This window comes from Homo sapiens, chromosome 6 (genome assembly GCF_000001405.40).
Source record: "Homo sapiens chromosome 6, GRCh38.p14 Primary Assembly".
NCBI lineage: Eukaryota > Metazoa > Chordata > Mammalia > Primates > Hominidae > Homo > Homo sapiens.
This window is the reverse complement of record NC_000006.12, coordinates 82,663,461-82,688,777: the sequence shown is the minus strand read 5'-3', so window position 1 is coordinate 82,688,777 and position 25,317 is coordinate 82,663,461. Positions and strand designations below refer to the sequence as shown.

Here is a 25,317-nt window from a genome sequence, read left to right as displayed (position 1 = left end):
TACTAATTTTATCCTTAGGATCATAAGTAGAATTGTTTACTGAGAGATTATGCATAGTTTCTACTGTTAATATAAATTCCCCAATTTGCTTTTACCAATTTCCCACCAGTAGAATGTTGGGAAACCTGACTAACAAGTTTCCCAACATTCTACACTGACATCAAATATAACTTTAAAAAATCATTTCTAGTTAGATAAGCAAAAACATGTATGTTTTGTTTAGCATACCTTTGATCGTTAATGAGGTTGAACGTATTTTCACCTATTTATGTATCGTTTAAGTTTTCCCTTTCAGATACTTCTTGTTCAGATTCTCGGAATTCATTTATAAATTAGTCTCTTGAAGAATTCCAGCCCATTTCACAGTAAAGCTGATGTTAAGACCGAAATTTTATTTTTCATGCAGAGTTCACTCTTGGAGAGTTGCAGTAAAGGCAGTCACACTTGGAGTACCTCAGTGACGGCAGAAAGGTTTATGTTTTCCTCTTGGTGACAACATAAATCTCTGTGAGATTGCTGTAAAGGTAAGGAGGATTTTAGAATTCATTTGCACAGAGGTTCCCGGAGCTTCCAATTTGACACGACTGGCCTTGGAAGATTCGCCTGGGCAAATCACAAGGGCAGATAGTTGGCTGGTTTAGTGATTGGCTTTGAAGCAGCACCAGATGCTGTGGACACCGGGAGGCCTTTTGCTGCCCTTCAGGAAAGCAGCGGAGCAGCAGAGGAGAGCGCCATGGGAGAACATGGGCCACCCTGGGTGAGGACAGGAAACAGGCAGAGGAAGTGAAAGAATTCTTTGAGGAGCAGAGGAGAGAGAGCTGGTAGTTCATCTCACTTTCTCTGATTAATAATCCTCACCCCTTCTGCCTGCGCAGCTTGACTGTGAGCAAAATAAGAAATGTGCAGCTCATGATGTCCTGAGTCCTGCTTCCATGTGGGTGGTTGGTGATGGGGCACAGTACCTCTTGTCCAGCATTAGATCTCAGAGGACTTGGGGGAGAGCATCTTTTGGCTGGCTTATTTAGGAAAAATATTTGGCTAAAATTCACTTACAGTTTCAACTACTTTCATTTTCCTATAATACAAGTTACAGGAGAAAAAAGGTGAAAAGAAGCCTATTTAAATTGTTAATATAGGTATTTATGAGTGATTAATTTTACTCCTTTCTGTTTCTCTTTATATTCTATAATGGGCACATTTACATATGTAATAGAACTACTAATAAATTGTATATATAATTTCTCCCCCGGGTGAGAACTCATCTTGCTGCTAAGTTAGGTTCAAGAAACAAGAAATCCTGTTGTTTGTAAACATCCCTTTAAACAGAAGTGAATGCTTGTGAGTATAGGTTCTTCTGTATTGCTATATTGGCAATTTAAGCCTTAATAGAAAAGGGCAGTAGTTTGGTAGTGGTGGTAACTTAAAGCCAGGATGGAGTGTTCCAGATCCCCCAAGATTCTGTGTGGACAGTGTGACTGGCAGCATGTGGGCTTGTTAGGGACTCTGGTACCAAGGCAATCCGTGCTGAGATCTGTTATATTTGCTCCAGTCCAGTGTGGTCCTTAGCTTAGAGTATGTAGCTTAATCCTGGTGGCCGTGGATCCTAAAAATTCCATCAAAAAGGCTCTATTAGGAGAGGTTACATATAGGGAAGATTGCATAATGTAATGTCATTATTTCCTCTCATGAATGGTCCCACTGAGTGAACAGGAAGGGTGGGGCCCTTCATGAAGCTTAAAGCCAGTCCCTCCAGTGAGGTTGGTATCTGAGCAGAGAGGGCCAGAAGTGTAAGAAGTGCTTGAAGTGGGCATGAAAAAGTTCTTCAAAGCTGAAAAATGGTACCATTGTATCTTTTGTTGGCTTGAAATTTCTGGCATGTTAATTAGACTATAAAAAGGGCCTCGACAATGTCATAAGGCAAGTTCTAAAAGCCTCAGGCTTTTAAACTTGAAGTAGCACAGTGAAGGACGGACCTCATGCAGAATGTTCACAATGAATCGCAAAAAGTGACAAAAGTTGATTAATTACTTATATGAAAACTAATTTGCAGTGATGATATTAACATTCTGAAGCCAGCCGTTTCCTTCCATTTGCTTCTTGTGGTTGGGACGTATATTCCTTCTTTGTTCATTTCTTAAAGGAACCATCTTTCATTTTCCCTCTTTTTTTGGTAACCTGTTTCTTCCAAGGACTATAAATATCTGAGATTCACTGATCTAATCAAGACTTCCTCCTTGATAGAAATTCTTAGAGAATTCAGTGGCAAAAATGAGCTCTATCTTTGAATCAAAATCTAAAATTATTTTTTAAAAGAAGGATAAAAATAGAAAATAGCAAGTTATTTAACTTGGGTATGATGTTTGTGACAATTCAGAAACCACCTTTGCAAAAATAGTAACAGTAAGAAAATTATGACAGTGGAGGATATCTGATCTAGACAACCCCCTCTTGCCTTTAGCCTTCAAGCTGACTTAATTGTTCCTGGGCATAGGCTGGGCTAACTTTGGGAGACATTTATAGTTTATATGATAATAGCCCTTCCCCCAAACACAGCCATCTTTGTAAAGCTTAATGAGACCACCAGGCTAGGAAGATAGAAAAGCCTGGATTCTGCTAACATATGAGCATTGCCAGCCATTTCTTCTGGAGGTCACAAGATATACAACTTTCTCAATTACTTCTGCAGATAACATCATTATTGTAAAACCTAAGATTGCCCTTTGGAGATAACTTTTCAGGTTTTTTGCATGTCTAACACCAATGATGGCTCTACCTGGACCTGCTAACCACTCCTGTGTCTCCACCCAGAAGCACTTCAGCCAGCAGGAGGATAATTTCCTATATCCCTATGATTGCACCCCCAACCAATCAGCAGTAAGTACCCATTGCCTAGCCACCTCCACCTCTTCCCCCAAACTACCTTTGGAAAACCCCTAACCTAAGATGAGATTTATTCGAGTAATAACTGTCCCCCACATGGCATGGCCACCCTTGTGTCCATTAAACTCTTTCTTTACTGCAATGCTATGGTCTTTGTTTGTGTATTGAGCAGGAAGAACCTGTTGGGATCTTTCAATTCTATTAAGTAGATAAATTAAAAGACATCACCTCGTGTCAATCCCTCATTCCCTCCACCTAATTTTAATCAACTAGTTGAATTTAAGAAAATAATCTTAACACTAAGTTGGTTACCAGCAAGTGTTCTATTTTTAAAAATCATCTTTTATACATCTAAAAATGATAAAGATGCTTAAACTTTAAACAATTTAAGGTATGTAAAGTGCCTATCAGAATGTCTTATCTATAATAAATGTCCAATTCAAAGTAAAAAGTTTTGCATATTGATGGAGACATTTCGGTCTTGCCCTTGGTTTGAGTGAGGTTCAACAAACATGAGAATCTACTTTCTCTTAAATGCTTCAGCTGTCTGGGGCACCAGCGCCTCCTGGATGAGTAGCATAGAAAGCTAAGAACTCTTTATTGCACTTGTTCATTTTTGGGTGGTCTGCTGGCCAAAGCTTGCTATATTCTATGGAGCAGAATTTTCCAGAATGTATTCCATACAACACCATCCCAAAACAGTCTCCATGAAAAAATGCATTACTCAACTGAGCTCGCAAAGCATTACTGATATGGTTTGGCCCTGTGTGCCCACCCAAGTCTCAACTTGAATTGTAATCCCCACGTGTTAAGGGAGGGACCTGGTGGGAGATAATTGGATCATGGCAGCAGATTTTACCCTTGCTGTTCTCATGATAAGAGTTCTCACAAAATCTGATTGTTTGATAAGTGTGGGGCTCTTCCTCCCCTTCTCTCTTTCTTTCTCTGTCTCGCCTGCTGCCGTGTAAGACATGCCTTCCTTGCCCTTTGCCTTCTGCTATGATTGTAAGTTTCCTGAGGCCTTCCCAGCCATGTGAAACTGTGAGTCAATTAAACCTCTTTCCTTTATAAATTACCCAGTCTTGGGCAGTGTCTTACAGCAGTGTAAAAACCGGCGAATACAACTACTGAATGAATATTATTGAGTAAGTTTAGTATTCTCTACTTAACCTGAAAGCCAATCATTAGGCATGTCTGACTGGTGCTGATGAATACTAATGGTAATTTACTTTCCCATCAGTGTTCGTGTGGTTACGATGCAGGGAATCCTTGTGTATCAGGTGCCTGCCTCCTAACTGCAACCAGACTCCTTCCCACCAGCTCAGTTTTTCCCTCAGACCTCACCATTGCAATCTCCACAGACTCCAGCAAGGTTAACAAAGCCAATTAGACATTAATGGACATTGTCACAACTCTGGCATGCATCTGCTGGCATAATAAAACACTCTGTGTTTTAAATCAATCTATGGTGCAGCATTAATGATAAGATCTTTCGTCTCCAGGAAGCTTTTCAAGTGCACATTTCTCAATGAGAACAGCCTGGTCAGGAGGGAGACAGTGTTTCATGACCATCTCGCTTCAGACTACAGAGTCTGACTCTGGGTTTGCCGTTACACATTACATTATACATAATTAATGGCTGAGTTTGCCATTAATTATGTGATCTTGGGAAGTTACTTAAATGTACCATACTTTAGTTTCTTCACCTGTAAAATGGGAATGATAATGGGATCTACTTTGTGTAGGGTTGTTACAAAGGTTAAAGGAGATAGTACTTACACTAGAACAGTAACTGGGATGTGATTAACAATCAATAAGTAGTTGTTATCATCCTAGTGCTGTTATGATTATTTTCTCAGAAGTTGGGGTTGGAGTTAGCATTCATCTGATACCGTTTTTGAGAGTGTGCCTATAATTAAATCTTTCTGATCTCTTTTGGAGGGCATATTACATTTAATAGGCGTATAAGACTTGGTTAGTCTGCACTTAGACTGCTGAATCTTGAGGAATTGATGTTGAAAGGTTAGCACTTTGGAGCTGGATATGACTGCAAAAATGACCGGGTCTCACTCTTATTTTGCAGATCAAGAGCCTTAGGTCCAGAGAAGTATTTTTCCAATGCTATAGGTGGGGTTGCTATAGGTGGGGTTGACAAAAGAACCTAGGACTCCTAATTCCAGGTCTACTACACTATTCCACACTGCCTTAGTGCAGGAGGCCTCAGTGTGTGTAGGATAATGCATTATTAGTTATTCTGTATTCTGCTTAAATTTGTAGATTGTTTCTTATTCAAGGTTGATATTCCTCAAGCGTAAAGAAGCAATTTGAAAGGAGAGGAAGAAAGACATGGAAGAGACACAGGCTTTAGAGCCAGAGTACTGAGTTTCGATCCTATTATCTAAATGTCTAACTCTCAGTGACTTAGTGAATTTCTGTGACTTTCACCTTCCTTGTGTGTTTGGGGATGATATTTTCTTTTCAGAATTATTGGGAAAATTAAATGAGAAAATATATAAAATTGCTTTGAATGTGGTAGGTACTCAAAGATGGCAATTTTACAGATGTTCCCTGACTACCATGGGTTTATCTGGATAAGTTGAGGGGTGTACTGAATGCCTGTCGCTTTCACACCATCTTAAAGTTGAAAAATCCTAATTTGGGGACCATCTGTGTTAACATTTATGGCTAATGACAGCTTTAATTTAACATTTATGGCTAATGAGAGCTACCTGAGAATAACAGGCTGGAGACAATGTGCAGAGTTTACTTAATCCCATGCTTCTTGAACTGCCGTATGTATAGTCCAGTGGTAAATAGCTATGTGCCAAAGTGAATGAAATGGTATGTCATTTAGGAGTGTCAATTTTATTTGGAAAAAAAAACTTGAGAAACTATTAAGTGATTAGTAAGTTAAAACACTTGAAAAATAACATGGATATTCTATGGAATAAAATTCAAAGTTAAACATCTTAAGTAAAAAGCACAAGACTTCAAATAAATTTTAGTTTTGCAGCAGACAGCTCCAAAATATTCTGCCAGCCTTCTATTTCACCACCCTTCTGCCCCAAAATCCAGAGTGCTCACCCTTCATGGCTGTAGGGGATATTCTGATGAAAAGTTGAGAAGGATTAATTTAATCTATCCTCTTACTGCTGCTTTGTAAAAGTAACCACCCAAGAAAAGATAAGCTGAGATGATGTGTTGCAGGTGCTGCCAGCTCCTCTACTAAATGATGTGGGAGTGTCACATGGAGGGCAGTGACATCAAATCGTGTTGACTCTGAACCCATACACCTGCCTTGCTAACTTCTCATGCCATTTCTGAATGCCTGGTCCTCATTTGTGGGTTCTGTTTGAGGTGGCATCTATTCTTTTTGCCTGCCAGTCATCCAATCCATCCTTTCTTCTGATAATAGCTCCTGTTTTTTCTCCACCCTTCTCCTACTTGGTCTGTGAGTCTTGGCTGTGACTAGTCCTGACCCCTGGATTCAGGGTAGCTATGTGACTGTAGCCTGATTGTTAACTTATGCCTTTCTTCGTGGCTCCTGTGGTGCTTTCTTTCCCCTGAACTTGAACCTGTGAGGATATAAGCCTGGAGCTGCCTGATGCTTCTGTCAGTGAAGGAAGCTATATAGAGACTCATAAATTATGTCCTTTATTTGTTTTGTTTTGCCTTAAAGTTGTAGAGTTGAGTTTTCTTTTATTTGTATCACTCTGCATCTGTATTTACTCTTGCCTTTTCTACCCTAATCAATTACAAGAACTATCTACCTGTCCTTATTGCAAAGATTAATATTTACTTCTTCATGTTTCATGCATTTGTTTATTCACTCGCTTATACTTATAAAGTATATAGAATACCTACTGTGGCAGAGCTGATAATTGTATACTCATTCTTTTCCACTTTTTTTTTGCCAATTGAACTGCAAGTTTATTCACAGCAATGATGTGCCACCTGAGGCCATGGGTCATGATTGATCTAACGTTCTAACTTAATCACACCAATCCTGTTCTAGGTGAATCACACCAATCCCATCCTCTTCTTTCCCAGCCCCCCTTGTAGCTAGTGGTGGCCATGTGGCCCAGTTCTGGCAAATGATACCTCTTAGTAGAAGTTTGCAGGAGAATTCTGAAAAGATTTGCTTTACTGATTAAACAGCATATGCACAATTTGTACAACTACCTTCTTCCTCCTTCCTGTGACTGTGATGTGCAGAGCTGCAACCACTATCTTGCAACCATGATGCCCCCCAGGTATGAGAGAAAGGCCAAGAGAGTCACAGAAAAGACAGCCGTGACATTGTTGAGCTAATGAAACCTCACCAGTAGCCACTTCCCTCAAGACTTTTTATTTGAGAATTACAAACCTCTATTTGTTTAAGCCTGTGTTGGCTTTCTGTTACTTTTAGTGGAAAGCATTCCTAAAAGACACACCCAGAAATAATCAGGCAATGGGCTAAATGCTGGAAATAGATAAATGAAAAAGACATGCCATTTCAAGAAGTTTGGCACAGAACTGTTCAGTTAGTACAGTGTGATGATGTAATTGCTACAGAGTATAGACAAGGAGCCAAGGGAGCCCAACAGAAGGCAGGCTTGAAAGACATGAGCCTTGAGCTGACCCTTACATGGAAATGAGGGTTTTCTAAGTGGACCTTGGCATGGGGTTGGGGACTAGAGCAGTCCATGGAAGCTGGAACAACACGTACCTAGGGCTGGCTCAGTAGCTATAAGCAGTTGTAAGCGATAAAATGTGAGGGAGAAACCAGTAGCAGGAGACGACTCTGTAGAGGTAGACAGGGGCCAGATCTTAAGGACCCTTTTTTTCCACACTAAGGAATTTAGAATTAATCCTGTATGTCAGTGGATCAGCACCTGTATGAGCCACACATGGGCTTTAATGACAGTTTCTCAGACCCTAGCCTAGACCTACTGCTTTGGAATCTATGTGTTAAATCCCAGGAATCTGTATTTTTGAGAAGTTTCGCAGGTCATATAGGTTAAGAATTAATCACACAGATGATAACAAGATAGTGAAAACTTTTGGTCAGGGGAATGAGAAGATCAGATCTGTCTTTTAGAAAGATCCAGTTGTGTGCCTATCATATTTGATGCACAGAATACATCATTTTTTAACAACTGCCTCCTCTATATGACAACATTAATTTTAGTAATATTTTTCTGATTTTTTTTAAAAAATCAGAAAAATAAGAATAAATTTTAATTTTAAAGATATTATTCAAATTCAATAAAATATTTTCTGTATGAGCTTAGAATTTACACCTACCAAAAAAACCTCACAGTTTGTTCTCTTTTCACTGTTTGAAACATTAAACACAAATCAAAACTCCAAGTAGTCACTTAGAATGACTAACAGAAGGAACTCGAGTTCTGTTTATTCATCTTGAAATCACTATACTGTCATTGTTTGTTGTGAATCTCCTTTAGCAGTCCTTATGTTGTACAGTTCTGATGGACAAGAATTTCAGTTATCACAGTGCAGTTAAATAGCACCAGTCCTGCAACAACAAGGTTCACATTTCAGTTACCAGTTCAGTTTATTAACTGTGAGTAATTGCATGAAATACAGACTTTACAGCCAGCCCTTCAGCTCAAAAATCACTACGTAAATAAAAGATTCACATCATGATTGGTGACCAATCATGATACTTCTTTAAGAGTCTGTTAGTGACTGGTCACCGTGCATCTGTTATGTAGTACATGCACAGATAGTACAGTGTGTAGTTGTGTTACATCCTTCTTGTCCAGTGATAGTCCACAAGATATTTTTACAAAAATGGATAGTCAAAACAGTATATTGGTCAACAAAGATGAAAGTGTAACAAAGGAACAAAAGTGATAATGCTAGAAATGAAACTGACATCAAACATGAATGGAGTTCTAGAAGAAATAGCTGACCACGGGAATGCTGACACAGCCATCATTTGAGACTTAGATATGCAGCCAGAGGAACTTGGTGAAGGTGAATTTATGGACATAAATTAGGCAAGTGGATGTGACAAAAGAAATATAAAGATGTCTCTGAGGAAGTGACACCAGGGACTTCACATGAAGGGGACTCTTGGAGATATTTCATGATGTTGAAAATGCAAAGGATAAAATGTTGGAAGCTGATTCAAACTTCAAAATAGTCTAACAGTTTGTCAAGGGATAGAAAAAAATGCTCATTCCAAAAATAAATTGTAGGAGAAAAAGAAAGAAAACACCATTCAAACTACTTGTGATAAGTTTTTTTAAAACAAAGAAATAAAACACTAATTCACAATGTTTCTAATGTTTTAAATTACAATGTACTAAACAAATATCAATTTTACTATTTTTCATTTCTCTATTCTTTAGAACTGAGATTAAGAGGGCTTTTAAAGTCTCAACCAAAAAGTTTAGAAGTCACAGAAGAATCTTCTACCTTTTGATGATGAAGATCTTTTTGCATGGTTTCTGCTTACATGACAATTTTTTCAGTTCCACAGTGCTGTGCAAACCAAGGACTGCCTGTATTTAAAAGTGGGAATGTATGACGCCTTAGAAGTTAGACATAAAAACTGCTCTTGAAAGGAGCTTGAAAAATACTTGAATTGTTACAAGCTTATGACGGAAACACATTTTAGGGTGTTGATTGTACAATTGGAAATTCTCTGATGAATTTCTATGTAAAAAATGTTTATGAAAGTAAAATGTCTACTAAATACACAATTAAAAATGTGCTAATTTGAAGCTCATGTATACAATATTAAAACTCATTAGTAATCACAATTGTTTAGAACTTAGGCCAAGAAAGTATTTTTGGGGTAGGAGTAACGTATCAATGATGTTGTTTAGACTTACATACGCATGGATATGATGAAAGGCAGACTGACTTTTAGTTTTATTATTGTTTTAAATTCCCTTTGTATTTGCCCACCTTAGGGCTTGCACTGGGGTGAACTGCTCCCACTGTCCTGCCATTGGTACACCACTGGAAACATCACTGAAGAAGCACTGTGGTGGAGGTGGAGGATGACACGAAGGCAGTGAGACAGAAGCCAGGTATGTACATAGGAATGGCAGAGAGACTGATTAGAAGATGAGCTGAGGCAGTCACAATGGAAATGAACCTATTTTAGGCTATTGGTCTTTGTCATGATGACCAAGTTTAATTCCTGCCTGAGATGACCACTGTCTCTTACAATTTCTCCAGCAATCTATCTCTTTCAGACCCATCCTTCTGTAGCTGGCACTGCTGATTATTCTAAATCTCCCCTGAATGTAGCCGTGAACCTGCTGAATGCCCTTTACCCTATCACTGACCTCCAGCTCTCCCCTACCCACATTTGACCCTCAAGGAGATTTGGCCATGTCCTCAGTTGGGTCTGACAGTCTAAAATCACAGCCTATTATTCTTACAAATTATAAGTGAAAGAGATTCTAGATTCCCTTATATTTAACTTCTTTCAGAATCTACTAATTTTGGAAGTACAGGTTTTGCCCCCATCTCTGTCCTGAGATGTCTTTTTTTCTGGAGATGACTATTCTTATTTTTCTTTTAGTTCATCATTCTGAAACTGGCCCAATTGTCCTACAGACCTGAGGTTTATGGTTTCTTTTGAGTAAACATAGAAATTGAACCTCCCAGTCTTAAAACTTGAGAAAGTTTGATTTGTCTTATCTGAGTTCCTTTCTCAGGAAATCAACCATCAGTCCTCCCAGATTGTAATAAGGAACTGAAACTTACCAGATTATCACATCTGGACAATGAGATGCCAGACCCCTCACCTAGCATGACTGCCTAACTGGCCACTTGCTTCCTGTTGACCAACTCCTCTTTCTTACCCCTTCCTAATTTCTGTTTTCCCACACAGGATTACACTTATTTCCTGCATATAAACCCCCAATTATAGTCAGTCATGGAGAAGGATTTGAGACTGATCTCCCATCTCTTCAGCTGCAGCACCTGATTAAAGCCTTCTTCCCTAAAAATACTTGTTGGCTCAGTGATTGGCTTTCTGTGTGATGAACAGCAGGACCTAGACAGGACCCTTCGTGTTTTGGTAACAATTCTGCAACAACCTTTTCTGAATTTGATTCTTTCATCACACTGAAGACACATATATTTTAATTGTATATTTGAACATCCTGGAAAAAGCCTGACAACAATACACAATTAAAACCCAGAATTATAATGGTATAATTAGGCCAGAAGTTATAAATTAATTGCCTTTAGTACAAATTAATATCACAGATATATGTCATTTGGACCATGCAGTGTTTTACATTTTTTTAAACCAATGCTAATATTTCAAAACCTTCATGACAAAAATCAGGCTTTTCTTCTTTTTCTTAAAAATACCCATTAATATTGGGTCTACATTTCCACAAGGTAGAAGTCAATTGGTGCTAATGGTCACCACTACTTTTAGACAGGATCTGTCTAAACTTGATTTCTATTTTCCTTGATTCCTGTTTTGTGATGTCTACTTAAACCTGGTAGACATTTGAGTTTGTAACTCATGATTTCAAATTTAGAGACTTCATTCTTATCAAGAGCAACATTAGCCAAAGCTATTTTCTTCAGAATAAATAACCAGACTATTGATTGTCTACTCCTCCAAAGATCACCTAATAAATTTAGATTTGACCAACACATTTATCTTGTGGTCTTTTCAGATCTCAGCACCCGTATATAAGAACAGCGTCAATTTTGCTTGGCTTTGGAGGAGAATTTGGATGAAAATGCAGAAGGACATGTCTCTTCCCAATTATGTGAGTAGAAATAAGTATTTGTAGAGTATGTTTTAATTTCCTCAATAGTCAACTATAATTAGATGTTGCCACAGCCTTCACTAGTCCAGTCTATGATGGTGTAGTATCTGGCAGTTGATCTGCAATTGTTTATGTGTTCTTCCTGAGGTCTTCTCCAGCTTGACTTCTCATCTGTACCAGGACACACAATAATTTAAACCACTCATACATATTCTTTGCAAATTAAAAAAAAAAAGTCTGCATAGTCATAAGTTGGCCAAACTTATTACATAGCTAGCTTACCTAACCAGACAGCTAAGCTTCTTCCTCTGAAATAGCTATCATTTGGGTTATTTCACTGCACTTAGGTTTTCCGCAAAAATGAAAAATACATCCTTGTATTATATTTGCATAACTAAGATGTCTATTGTATTGATTGTCCCAGAGCAAAGCAACTTTTAATTCAAAGTTTCTTATTTTAGGAAACATACTGAAACTTGCTCTCACATGAACAAAATTAAATAAAATTTTCTTTTAGAATAGTTTTAGGTTTACAGAAAAGTTGCAAAGATAGTACAGAGAATTCACATGTACTCCTCACCCAGTTTCCCCTGTTCTGAATGGTACATATGTCACAACTAAGGAACCAGCATTGGTGAGTATGATGAATGTCACACTTTATTTGGATTTAACTGTTTTTTCCCCAACAGACTTTTCTGTTCCAGGATCCAGTCCTTTTTTCTCTCTTCCAGGATCTCATTAGATAGAAAACACATTACTGGAAAACACATTATATTTAGTTATTATGTCTCTTTAGACTTTGCTTGGCTGTGATGAGTTTCTTAGATTTTTAAAAAATTTTTTGATGACTTTGATAATTTTGAGGAGTACTGGTTGGATATTTTGTGGAACTATCTAAATTTGGGTTGGTCTGATGTTTCCTTTTTACAATCAGTCTGGGATTATGAGATTTTAGAAATAATACCACAGAGATAAAGTATCATTCTTATCACATAGCATCAAGGGTATATGCTATCAACATGACTGGTCAATGATGATGTTAACCCTGACCACCTGTCAAGGTAGTGTTTGACAAGTTTCTCCACTGTAAATATAGTCTCCCTACTCCCCAACACTTGAAAGCAAGTTAGTAAGTGCAGTCCATATTCAAGGGATGGGAAGTTAAACTCCATTTCCTTGACGGGTAAGTATCTATGTAAATTATTTGGAATTTTTCTACATGGGAGATTTGTCTCTTCTCCCCCTTTGAATAATCTCAGGTTAATTCATGTATACCTTTGGCAGGTCCCCATCATTTTGTTTATTTAGCATATCCTTACTTTCTGGCACTACATGATGTTCCAGGGTCATTTGTATATTCTCTGTCTCAGCCTTAGAGTCAGCCATTTCTCAAGGAGCCCTGGTTCCTTTCATTGGAGAATGGTGTTAGAAACCAAGATCTGGGCATTGGGTGTGCTCATTCATCCTGGGATGTTATTGCTTCTAGAAGGTCCTCTCAGAGGGCAGAGCTAGGAAATATATGTATGTATACTAACCCATGTGTTCACACATATACAAAATCATTTCTGTATTTATCTATCTGTATATATTTTAAGTTAAAGATGAATTTACACTGATGTCTTTGACCCCAAGCCCACACCACATGTTTCATTCTGACTTCCAACTTATCTATAACCTCTCAGCAGAGAGAAACCTGGATCCCACTGTCCACCATCAATTTACTTATTTGTTCAATCCCAGTATAAGATTTTCTTATCTCCCTAGTTTCTAGTTATTATGGGTTCAAGTGAGATATTGGGCCTTAATCTCAGATAGGAAAACCCTTTTAGTTCTTTCAATGATGTAAACAGCGAAGCATAATTTGGCCACACTGTGAAATAAAAACCCTCAGCATGTTTCCTCAATTCATTGAAATAGATAAGTATGCATTAGCAGTTAACACATCTGTGCACACCTGGAATGCTATGAATTTTAATTAGGGATATCAGGTCTAGAGGATTTATGAAGGCAAGTGATTAAACAGGTAAATATAGATTTTAGTCATTCAACATTTCAGGACTACAAATTTTGTTTTTGTGTAAAACAGAAACCCCTTGGGAACTTTAGTTCTACTCATTACTTGTTTGCAAAAAAAGATTTTTATAAAAAGATATTTTGCAAATTTGCACAAATGAGATTTTATCCTTTGGGAGTAACAAAAACCAAGGTGAATGATACTGAGGGAATTAAATTACAAAATGAGATAGCATAGGTTTGGGGTATACTGAACTATTGCATTAAGAGTTGTTTGAATGCAGAAACAACTTAATGTCTTTCTGGAGTAAAACAAATTCAAATTTCAGGGTTTTTGGAAAAATGCTAACGCAAACATATTATAAAAGATTTTTCTATCATTAGACGGAAGCAGCTAAGATAATGACTGTGCTTCTGGGTAGGCCTACAGTACTTTTGGAAGAATTGATCATGTTCTCCATTGTAAGTTCTGCTCTGGGTGCTATAACTATATCAGATGTGGGGGTGTGATGTTACCTTTAGTGCAGAGAGATAAAGGGATAACATTATCAAATGAAAGGAAACCATTGAAAAGAGGCCGAAGAACACCTCTAAAGTTTGCAATAATGTAAAGTGTTGATACAATATGGTGTATAAGGTGGGACTATGATGCTAGGAAATGATTCCTTGAAACTTTTATAAAAAATATGGCTCATAGCCTATTGCTGTAATTAGTGATCATTTTGTCTAAAGCAATAGCCAGCTAGGTTGGTGAATGACACTGGGAAATTATAAATGGCAACATTAATTTTCTTTTTTTTCTCACCACATATCTGTCTAGGTTTATTTCTAGAGGTTTTATTTTGTTTTATTTTTTGGTCTTCAGGAAAGCTTTATTATGATTTATTTGTTTCTTTTCTTTATTTTTTATTTCAATAGGTTTTGGGGAAACAGGTGGTGTTTAGTTACACAAATAAGTTCTTTAGTGGTGATTTCTGAGATTCCGGTGCACCCATCACCCAAGCAGTGTACACTGTACCCAGTGTGTAGTCTTTTATCCCTCACCTCCTCCCATCCTCTCCCCCGAGTCCCCAAAATTTATTGTATCATTCTTATGCCTTGTGTCCTCATAGCTTAGCTCCCACTTATCAGTGAGAACACATGGTGCTTGGTTTTCCATTTCTGAGTTACTTCACTTATAATAATGGTCTCCAATTCCATCCAAGTTGCTGGGAGTGCCATTATTTCATTCCTTTTTATGGCTGAGTAGTAGTCCATGGTATATATAGACCACATTTTCTTTATCCATTTGTTGATTGATGGGCATTTGGGCTGGTTCCATAGTTTTGCAACTACAAATTGTGCTGCTATAAACATGTGTGTGCAAGTATTAATATCTTTTTCATATAATAACTTCTTTTCCTCTGGGTAGATCCCCAGTAGTGGAATTGCTGGATCAAATAGTAGATCTACTTTTAGTTCTTTAAGGAATCCCCACACTGTTTTCCATAGTGGTTGTACCAGTTTACATTCCCACCAACAGTGTAAAAGTGTTCCCATTTCACCACATCCATGCCAACATCTATTATTTTTTGATTTTTTTGATTATGACCATTCTTGCAGAATTAAGGTGGTATTGCATTGTGATTTTGATTTCCATTTCCCTGATCATTAGTGATGTTGAGCATTTTTTACATGTTTGTTGGCCATTTTTATATCTTCTTTTTAGAATTGTCTATTCATGTCCTCAGCACACTTTTTGATGGGATTGTTTTTTTCTTGCTAATTTGTTTGAGTTCTTTGTAGATTCTGGATATTAGTCCTTTGTCAGATGTACAGGTTGTGAAGATTTTCTCCCACTCTGTGGGTTGTCTGTTAACTCTGCTGATTATTTCTTTTGCTGTGCAGAAACTTTAGTTTAAGTCCCATCTATTTATCTTTGTTTTTGTTGTAATAAACGGCAACATTATACTTTCAAGTAGTGTCTTGGTGGTATCTCCAGTTTGGGACTTTTTAATCCATTAGGTTGCCAACACTCATTTCTGTTGGGAACATATTTACTGCCCATCTTTTGTCATCTCATAATAGTTAGGGTTGAAAGGGTACTTAGAAACCCAAACACTACTGGAGAAAGGCTTTGAGAAGGAAACTACCTGGGTTGGGTTAAGTTAAATTAGATAAGAATACATGAAATGAGCAAAGAAGATATATGTGAACTAACATGGAAATCTCTAACAGATATATTGAAATTAAATAAAGAAAATTTCAGAAAAAATGTATACCTGTATTAAAGGGAGAGACTAGGGGATCATGTGGAGAAACTTAGCCAATTTTTTTGTGTGGTATATTCCTACAACATTTGATACAGTTTTGAAACCTATTCCATATTTTATAATGGATGACTTATGAAATAAACAGCCTTATCAGGCTACTTTAATTTGGATAACCACAAACTGACTGACCAGATGAAACTAGTGCAATAGTTTGAATTAGTACATTCTCAGGCTGTGTGATTGTGTGCCTATTACTGATCTTACAGTCATCGCTTTGGGAATCAAAAATGAATTACAGAAATTAAAATACTGATGTGCCTTTCTAGCTGTTAAAAACTGAATCTTTCAAAAGTATGGTTCATCTTTGTTACAGTAAAAAGGGTTTTAAAATATTTCTTATTGATGTGTCATGAATCTGTCAAATTTGGTAAGTACAAAAATTGATTTTATTTCTTTATTCTCAGTGGTGAAATTTTCCTTTTATTATTTCAAACCAAGAAAATAATGTTTTATATTTTACTACTAAATACTTCCAAAATATGATGTTTACATAATGATTTCCTTTTTACAAAGTATTTGCACAACTATTATTTCATCTGGAGTCTCCAAACAAGAGAAATGTTAGGATCTAAAACATATGTTCTTAGAAATTCTGAAATGAAAGTGTCCTTTTAAATGTTTTATTAACAGTTTTTCTATTCAGGCATTTTATCTTCTAACCCCAAAGTTTGTTATATTCTTATAGTTTTATTTCTAAGGTAAGATGAAGTTTTAATGACATAGAAACTTAGCAATACAATGACTCCTCATTATAGAAAATATTTTCATTAAAGAAAACTTTCATTTTAATTTAATTCAGTTCGATTCAACCATTACGACTGATTGTGTGTGCACTGTAGAGGATGCTATGCTGGGAGCTGCAGGGAATATTATGAGCAAAGCATTGTCCTGCTTTCAAGGAGCAATAATTACACATAAAATATAAGCAGTTCAATGAGGAGCTTATCGCTCTGTTGTGGTGAATGTAGGAGAGTCAAGAGAGAAAAATAATAAATTATGACACTAAGCAGAACATGATGATATGAGGGAAATGAAAGCAATGTGTCATGGGACTTCAAAGGAAGAAGATGATGCCCTGAGTTGGTAGGATTGGAGAAGGCTTCATGAAGGTAGTAAGTATGAAATGAGCCTTGAATATGCAATAGAGTTTAAAGAAATTAGGAAGTTTAGACATAGTCTTGGGAAAAACCAAAAGTATTTCAGTTGAGGCTATCTCAATGAGTTAGCCTTTTTCTTTTCTGTTGAAGATATATATAAATCATCTTATCAGTGAATGACATAAAGTAGGGACTCCTTTTCTTTGTCCTAAGTCTTATGATAAGAGTTATCATCTCATCCAAGTTTTTCAAGAAACTCTGATCCAGAGAAATTAAGTGCCATTCTGTAAATCCCCAGCACTTGGTAGAGGAGTCAGACTTAGAGCCAGTCTTTTTATTTCCAAGCCAGTGATGAACTCAGTTTACTTAAAAAAAAACAAAACACTACAAATATCAGTGACTCTTGGATGTTTCTTTTCATTATTTGGGATGTCAATATAAAGAAAAATGCAAGTGACTTTTTTTGGTGATGTGAGACTTTTTTCTACATTATGTCACAGTCTTGACTAAACAGAACGAAATAATAACAGATGCCATTACTAGGAGGCAGGCATTTAACAAATGTTTTCTCATTTAATCTTTACCATAAACAGGCCCAATTACCATAATTATCATTTCTATTATGAGAAAAATGATACTAAAAGAGTGTAATTGATGTGCTTAGTGTCATATCCTTAGCATTGGTGAATTCAAGACTCAAACTGAGGTGCCGAGCTATTAATCCACATTGCCAATTTGGAACAGTTAAGTACAGCTCTTGGTTAGAGGAAGGTGAGAGATCCTTCTAATAATCCCCTTAAAACTACCTTCTCCTTTCTTCAAGGCAAACAAAGTGTTTAGGACACACAAATCATTTAGGTTATGCTTCCTCTAATTTCGATCTATAGGCTTTTGGGAAAGACAAGAAGGAGTCATTTCTTCACTTAGAAATGAGGAAAACACAAAACATGGTGATAAATATATGGGCAGTATTTTTTTTAACCATTCATATCAGTTGGAAGGGTTCCAGAGCCTCAAATCACTTCCCGCCACCACCAGCAGCACCATCACCACCACCACCACCAACATCAACAACAACTGTTGTACAGCAGGGCATCCTCTACTAGTTGATCCCAGTTATTTCGCCTTTGCTGGTGACAGTGCTAGACTTAAGCATGGGGTAAATGCTGGTGTCTACAGGCAGGGAGGAGGTACCTTCTAGTCTTTTAAGAGGTGAGCTTTCTTGAAGGCTGAATGTAAAAAAATGTGCAAAAGAGATGTCCATGGAAAGTGAAGCTTTCAGTCACATAAAAAATGGAGAAAAGTAAAATGGAGATTTCCAGAATAAGGTTTCAAATGTACAAACAGATGTCCAGATGAAGGCAGGCAATTTTCTCAGCATATTTCTCTTTGTTTATTTCTAATTATGGTGAGTTTTGAGGTTAGTCCTACTCTTTGGTTATACTTTTATTCTCTCAATTTTGTCTTTCTGTGTTATGATCCCCTTAACAAGCAAGAAGAAATAGACATTTAATAAACCAGATGTCACTCAATAAATCCTAAGTGTTATTCTTAGTATCAGAAAAGCAAATGCAAACCAGTAAAGAAAAAAAAAAGTGGCGGGTGGGGGCTGGATTTTAAAGTTATTCATTTGGCATAGTTTAGAGTTATTATTGACAATGATGCTCTTCAAACTAAAAAAAGTTCTTTTAAATGTGGCATAGAAAAGGACTTCTTATGGGTGAGATGAGCAGTATGCTAATGAAAAGCTAAATAGTTATATATTTTTCTGTCTATTTACCTATCAATTTATTCGCTATAGTTTATTCCTAAATTGCTCCTTTCTTCAAATAAGGGTGATATTTTAGAGTAAGACTCAGCATGACAAAGTGAAATATTGAAAGGCAGCAGGCACTTTAGATTTAGTCAATGGCCATTCCCCTTCTTTGAAAATAGAACGCTGGTTTTTGTTTGCTCTCCTCCTATGAGCATCTCTTTCAAGGATAGCTGGACTCTTCCCCAACCAAAGAGGTAACCCTTAATTGTTTTAAGCTAATTACAGTGGTCTCATTATTTTTTTTCCAAGTAATTGGTGAAACCATGTGTAATTTACAAAGTTTTGGCCAAGAAAACATGAAAGGATATCTCCCGAGAGCGTCTGGGAAGGTTTTTATCACTGTATTAAAAAAAAAAAAAAAAAGGACAAAGACAGGGTAGATGTATCCTCAAGGAATACTTGAAACTGAGTCAGATATCTGGAGGCTATGAGGGGGAGTCAGCCTAAGAGTCAATATCCTGGGAATCAGCAGATGGCACAGCAGAAAATGGAAGGAACCTGCTTTTATGATGACCTCATTGAACTATTTGATTACCCATCCCTAAAACTGACCTACTTATGTGAGATAATAGTGTCCTTGTAAATCTCTTCTGGCTGTGATTTCTCTGATTTGCAGATGAAAGCACTCTGATTGGCACAAGTGTCAACTTTTTTTTTTCAGAATTATATTTAACTATTACCCAGTTTGAACTTATTCCTAATTTTGCCTCGTATTCTCCACCTAAAATGCTCTTCTTGTCTTCTTGGACCATTCAGAGCCTGAAATCTCTGTATGTATGTATCTCCGAAATCTCTCAGTATGTATGAAACCTTCCCTAAAACTTCCTGCAGGAGCCCTCTCTTCTTAACGTCTAGAAAAATGCTTCTCAAACTTTAATGTTCATTCGTGTCATCTGGGGCTCTTATAAAAATGCAGATTCTGATTCAGTAAGTCTGGAGTGGGACCCAAGATTTTGAGTTTTCAAAAGCTCCCAGGGGTTACCATGCTGCTCATCCAGGGAGCACACTTTGAGTAACAAGAACACTCTTACTGGTAACACTCACTTGATGCTAGATCACATGCAAGCAATAATGCATGTTATTTAGTTTCATGAGTTTATGTTTCCTCTTTCCAACTAAATTTTAAATTTTTCAAGGGCAGGGTTTCTCATTTTTTGGTTTCATGACAACACTCAACACAGTGAATCTGTTAAGCAAAGAAGGGATGAATCAATTAATGAAAAGGAAATTAAGTTAAATATAACCATGTTTTTGATAAAGAGGAATCCACTATCTTAAATAACTATCAATAAGATGATTTGTTCTGTCTTTGGTAATTGACAAAATACTTACAATGCTTCTGTAGAGAATTAAAAATTCTAGACAAAATATTTTAAAAAATTATTTGCCTGATGGCACTGGAAAGTGAACAAAAGCAGGCAAATACTGGAGGGGAAGTGACACTAAATTAAATAAATATCATTTAGTGATATTTTTTCTTTTTGCCTGAGTACAGGTCCCAGTCTGCTATGCAGGGTGGCTATTAAAGTACTTCATACAGTCTTACTGTTTAAAAGAAGTAAATGACAGAGTTCAGAGAAACCACAGCCACTGGAAAATGAAGGAGAAATCTTGGAGAAGAAAGAGCCAGAGATGGGGAGTCCACAATGCTGTTCATAAACTCTTTTCAAATTTCTGGGTGGTCTCAAATCATGCATGTGGGACAGACTCCTAGCAGCTCAGCTATGGTAAAGGAATTGAACTGGTAAAGGAATTTGAGCTACCATTCACCATAGAAAATATAGAGTTTTCAGTCTGAGTTCAGCCAATTTAACTGACTGCTCTAACAACAAAATTAATACTCCTCAAAGGAACATAACAGAATCCAGAGTCTGTATAACATATTATTCACAGTGCTCGAAATATAATGAAAAAGTACTTGCCATACAAAGAAATAAGAAAACTTAACCAATAGACCTTTCTCATGAAAAAAGACAAGAGACTGACCCTGAGATAATCCACATGTTGGAATTAGCAGATGCAGATTTTAAAGAAACAATTACACCTATTTTTGAGTATATAAAGGAAAATTTTCCCATATAATAAATTAAAAGGTAATAATTCTTAATAGAAAAATAGAAATTATAAAAAGGTATCAAATGGGGATTCTAGAACTGAAAAATACATTCTCTGAAGTTTAAAAATTCCACTGCATAGGCTTAAAAGAAGAATGCATATGATAGGAGAAAAAGTCAGTTTATTCTGAAGCTAAATCCTCCGAATTCAATGAGGTGATTTGGTTCTATGATTCCTAGTTTGAACCTTAGAAATGACAGTTATGGCTGGTCTAAAGATTTTCCAATTACTTTTTTTTTTTTTTTTTTTTGAGATGGAGTCTCACTTTGTCACACAGGCTGGAGTGCAGTGGCGTGATGTCGGCTCACTGCAACCTCTGCCACCTGGGTTCAAGCGATTCTCCTGCCTCAGCCTCCCAAGTAGTTGGGATTACAGGTGCCTGCCACTGCGCCCAGCTAATTTTTGTATTTTTAGTAGAGATGGGGTTTCACCATCTTGGCCAGGCTGGTCTTGAACTCTTGACCTCGTGATCCACCTGCCTCAGCCTCCCAAAGTGCTAGGATTGCAGGTGTGAGCCACTGTGCCCAGCCTCCAATTACCTTTTTAAGGACCCCAGGAATCCACTCTTTTTCTGGGTCAAGGATCTTAAAACTCAGGAAAATTCAAGGAGTTTTTAGTGTTCTTACCTTTGCTAAACAACAGTTGGAAATCTTCAGTGAGCCTAGAAGAGATATGCCAACCAGGGATTTTTCAAGTATCTGCTTGATGGCAGCCCCATTAGCAATGCCCTAGAATGTACTGAATGACACAAACCTAATTAGACTGATTAGAATCTGATCAGTTCTGAGAATGCAATTAAGCAATGCTGCTGCTTAGTTAGTGTTATATCACTCCCAGAATAACAGAAATATTTGATGTTGCTGAAAGAGAAGGGAGAACTTGAAAGGAATTAAAAAGTAGACGCATCACCAGTTGGCAGCCACTGTAGTAATAATAATTTTAGCCAAGAACCAAGAAAGAAACTAATGGTTGAAAATTTGATGAAAAATAGGACATTTACATCACATCAAAGTAGGTCTCCAGAAGGTATTTATTAATTACAAAGGGAAAAAAGATTTACACTGAGGAAACATGGCAGAAATCACCTTAAGTGATCAAAGTAAATGTCACTAATGAGACAGAGATATCATGTGCTTCTTATTATTATGCTCTGAAAAGGACACAACACTTTACTTCTGTGCTAATCCTTCCATAAATGCATAACCTATTTATGAGGAAACATCAGATAACCCCAAACTGAGGGCTTGTATACCTTGAATGTCGAGGTCATGAAAGACAAAGAAAGATTGAGGAATTATAAGGTGATAAAGAGACATGACGACTAAATGCAATATATAATTCTGGATCAGAAAAAAAAGACATTTTCTTCCTTTTGCTATCAAGGACATTAGTGGAATAATTAGTGAAATTTGACTAAATTCCGTAGATTAGATAATAGTCACATAAATAGTAAGTTCTTGATTTTGATAATTAAACTGTGCTTGTAAAAGAATGCGCTTGCCCTTGTTTTCTAATTAATAAACTTTTAGTTTTAGTTTCACAGTGCAATTGAGCAGATAGGACACATACCCCTGTCCTCACATATGTACAGCCTCCCCCACTATTGACATCTTGCACCACAGTGGTACATTTCTTACAAACAATGAACCTGCATTGACATATCATTGTCACCCAAAGCTCATAGTTTACATTAGGGTTCACTCTCGGTGTTGTACATTCTATGAGTTTTGACAAATGTGTAATGACATGTATTCACCATCATAGGCCCTAAAAATCCTGTATACTCTGCCTATTTTTGCCTTCTTCCTCCCAACCCCTGGTAACCACTCATCTTTTTACTGTCTCTATAGTTTTGCCTCTTTCAGAATGTTATATTGTTGGAATCATACAGTATGTTAGCCTTTTTGGATTGGCTTCTTTCAATGATAGCAATGTAGATTTAAGGTTCCTCTGTATCTTTTTGCGGCTTGAGAGCTCATTTATTTTTACTGTTAAATAATATTCCATTGCCTGAATGTATAACAGTTTATTTACATATTCACCTACTGAAGGACATCTTGCTTGCTTCCAAGTTTTGGCAATTGTGAATAAAGTTGCCATAAACATTAATGTCCTGGTTTTTATGTGGACATAAAAGTTTTTAAATCATTTGGGTAAATATCAAGGAGCATGATTTCTAGATCACATGATAAAAGTATATTCAGTGTTGTAAGAAACTGGCAGATGATTTTCCAAAGTGTCTTTTCCATTTTGCATTCCCAGGAACAATGAATGAGAGTTTCTGTTGCTCCACATACTCATCAGCATTTGGTGTTGTCACTGTTTTGGATTTTAGCCATTCTAATAGGTGTGTAGTCATTGTTTCTAAGAAACATACATGAAAGTATTTGGCATTGCAAAGTAAGGAGGCATTACAATATAATCTTACATGGGTCTGAAAAAACATGCATTTCTGTGCATGTATAGCGCACACTAGGCACTCACAAAATAAGAGATCTGTTATGATACACATATGTTTCCTAGCTTCATCTGGTTTTCCTCCTTCTCCTAATCTTCAAATTCTCTCTCTCTCTCTCTGTGTGTCACATCCAGAATAACAGAGAGGAGGTATTATTATGGCCAGGGCTAGTGGAAGTAAGAGAAACACATTCTAATTCCTTATGGCTCTGATCATAAATTCTGGAGCAATAGTTTTCAAATATGGCTGCACATTGGAATCATCTGAAGTGTTTCAAAAAATTCAGATGCATAATATGAACCATGCATAGGTAAAAACATTTATTCAAAATATAAAATAGAACAATAATATAATGTAACAAAATATACAAAGTTCATTAATATTGTTTCAGATTTCATATTGCAACTAATATGTAAGAAACTACCATTTGTAGAATTTCGATGTAATATCAAGAACACCCACAGCTAACTGAAAATACTCCTTTCTTTTCCAACTACATGTCATGTGGGCCAGTTTTTCTTCAAATGTTTCAACCCAACAATTTATTGCAACATATCGAGTGCAGAAATGGATATGAGAATCTAGTGTTCTGTTTTAAGCCAGAAATTAAAGAGATCTGACCGGGTGCAGTGGCTTATGCCTGTAATCCCAGCACTTTGGGAGGCTGAGGCAGGCAGATCACTTGAGGTCAGGAGTTAAGAGACCAGCCTGGCCAACATGGTGAAACTCCGTCTCTACTAAAAATACAAAAATTAGCTGGACATGGCGGTGCATGCTTGTAATCCCAGCTACTCGGGAGGCTGAGGCAGGAGAATCACTTGAACCCGGAGGCAGAGGTTGCAGTGAGCCCATATTGTGCCACTGCACTCTAGACTGGGCTACAGAGAGAGACATCATCTCAACCAAAAAAAAAAAGAAATTAAAAAGATTCAAAAATTGCTAAATAATATGTCTGTTCACATTTGAGGAGAAAATATGGATTTATTTTTATAAAATATGTTATTTATGCCAATATGAAATGAGTATATTGTTATTTTAGTAAATTAATAGATAAATTATTTTTCCATTTTAATTTCTTAAATTTTGATAGGTATGATTAATATAAATAAAACCCTTTGGGGTCTTCAGTAAGTTTTAAGAATGTAACGGCATTATGAGATTATGCTGATCCAACAATCTTCATTTGGGAGTATCAGGAAAAACTTCCTAGCATTTGATAGAGCTTTTGTGGCTTGGCTGGGGATTTGGCAATTGAAGATTAGGGTTGGGCATATAAGAGGATGTTCTAGACAGAGGGATCAGTATGAGCTGAGGCCCAGAGGTGTGAAAGTTTGGAGAGAATTTGGGAAACAATGAATAGTCAGTCCATTTCAATTCAACTATCTACAGAGCACCCTTTGGGTGGTAGGTGGATGCTGTGTGTAGTGCCAGAGAGTAAGACACTATCTCTACCCTCAAACTCACAGTTCGTATTGGTGGGAGAATTATATTTTGAGTGGAAAAGCAGTCAACAATACACGTGGCCTGACCTCAACATTATTTTCCCAGGTGCTTTCTTTTTTTAAAAAACAATTTGCTTAATTTCATAATTCCTCATTTATGAGACTATGCAACAACTTAGATTTAATTAACTATAATGACTTTAGACTTTATTGTTTAGGCAACCTTTTTAGCAACAATGTCCATTTTTCTTTGTGGGCACCTTTTTCTTTATGCAGCCAGTTTTACAAGAAGCAGGTGAAATTCTTCAGCTGATATATGAGCAAGTTATGTCCATTAAAATTAATGAGAGCTGACTATGTGCACTGAGGGAAGAATATACTTCAAAAAGTTAATTTACACAATGTTTCTTGTTACGTTTTCATTG

The 25,317-nt window shown here is 36.8% G+C and overlaps 1 long non-coding RNA gene across 2 annotated transcripts in view; it reads left to right on the top strand.

Moving 5' to 3' along the window:
- Positions 1 to 293: 293 nt before the first annotated feature.
- LOC105377876 (uncharacterized) overlaps positions 294 to 25,317 on the top strand; it is a 90,717-nt gene continuing 65,693 nt past the window's right edge. The window contains exons 1-5 of one of the 2 annotated variants that reach the window (XR_001744232.2): positions 294 to 524; positions 2,809 to 2,874; positions 9,807 to 9,926; positions 10,739 to 10,927; positions 11,544 to 11,639. This is a non-coding gene — a long non-coding RNA (uncharacterized LOC105377876). The remainder of the gene's footprint in view (positions 525 to 2,808; positions 2,875 to 9,806; positions 9,927 to 10,738; positions 10,928 to 11,543; positions 11,640 to 25,317) is intronic. The other variant, XR_942739.2, reaches the window with a different exon arrangement.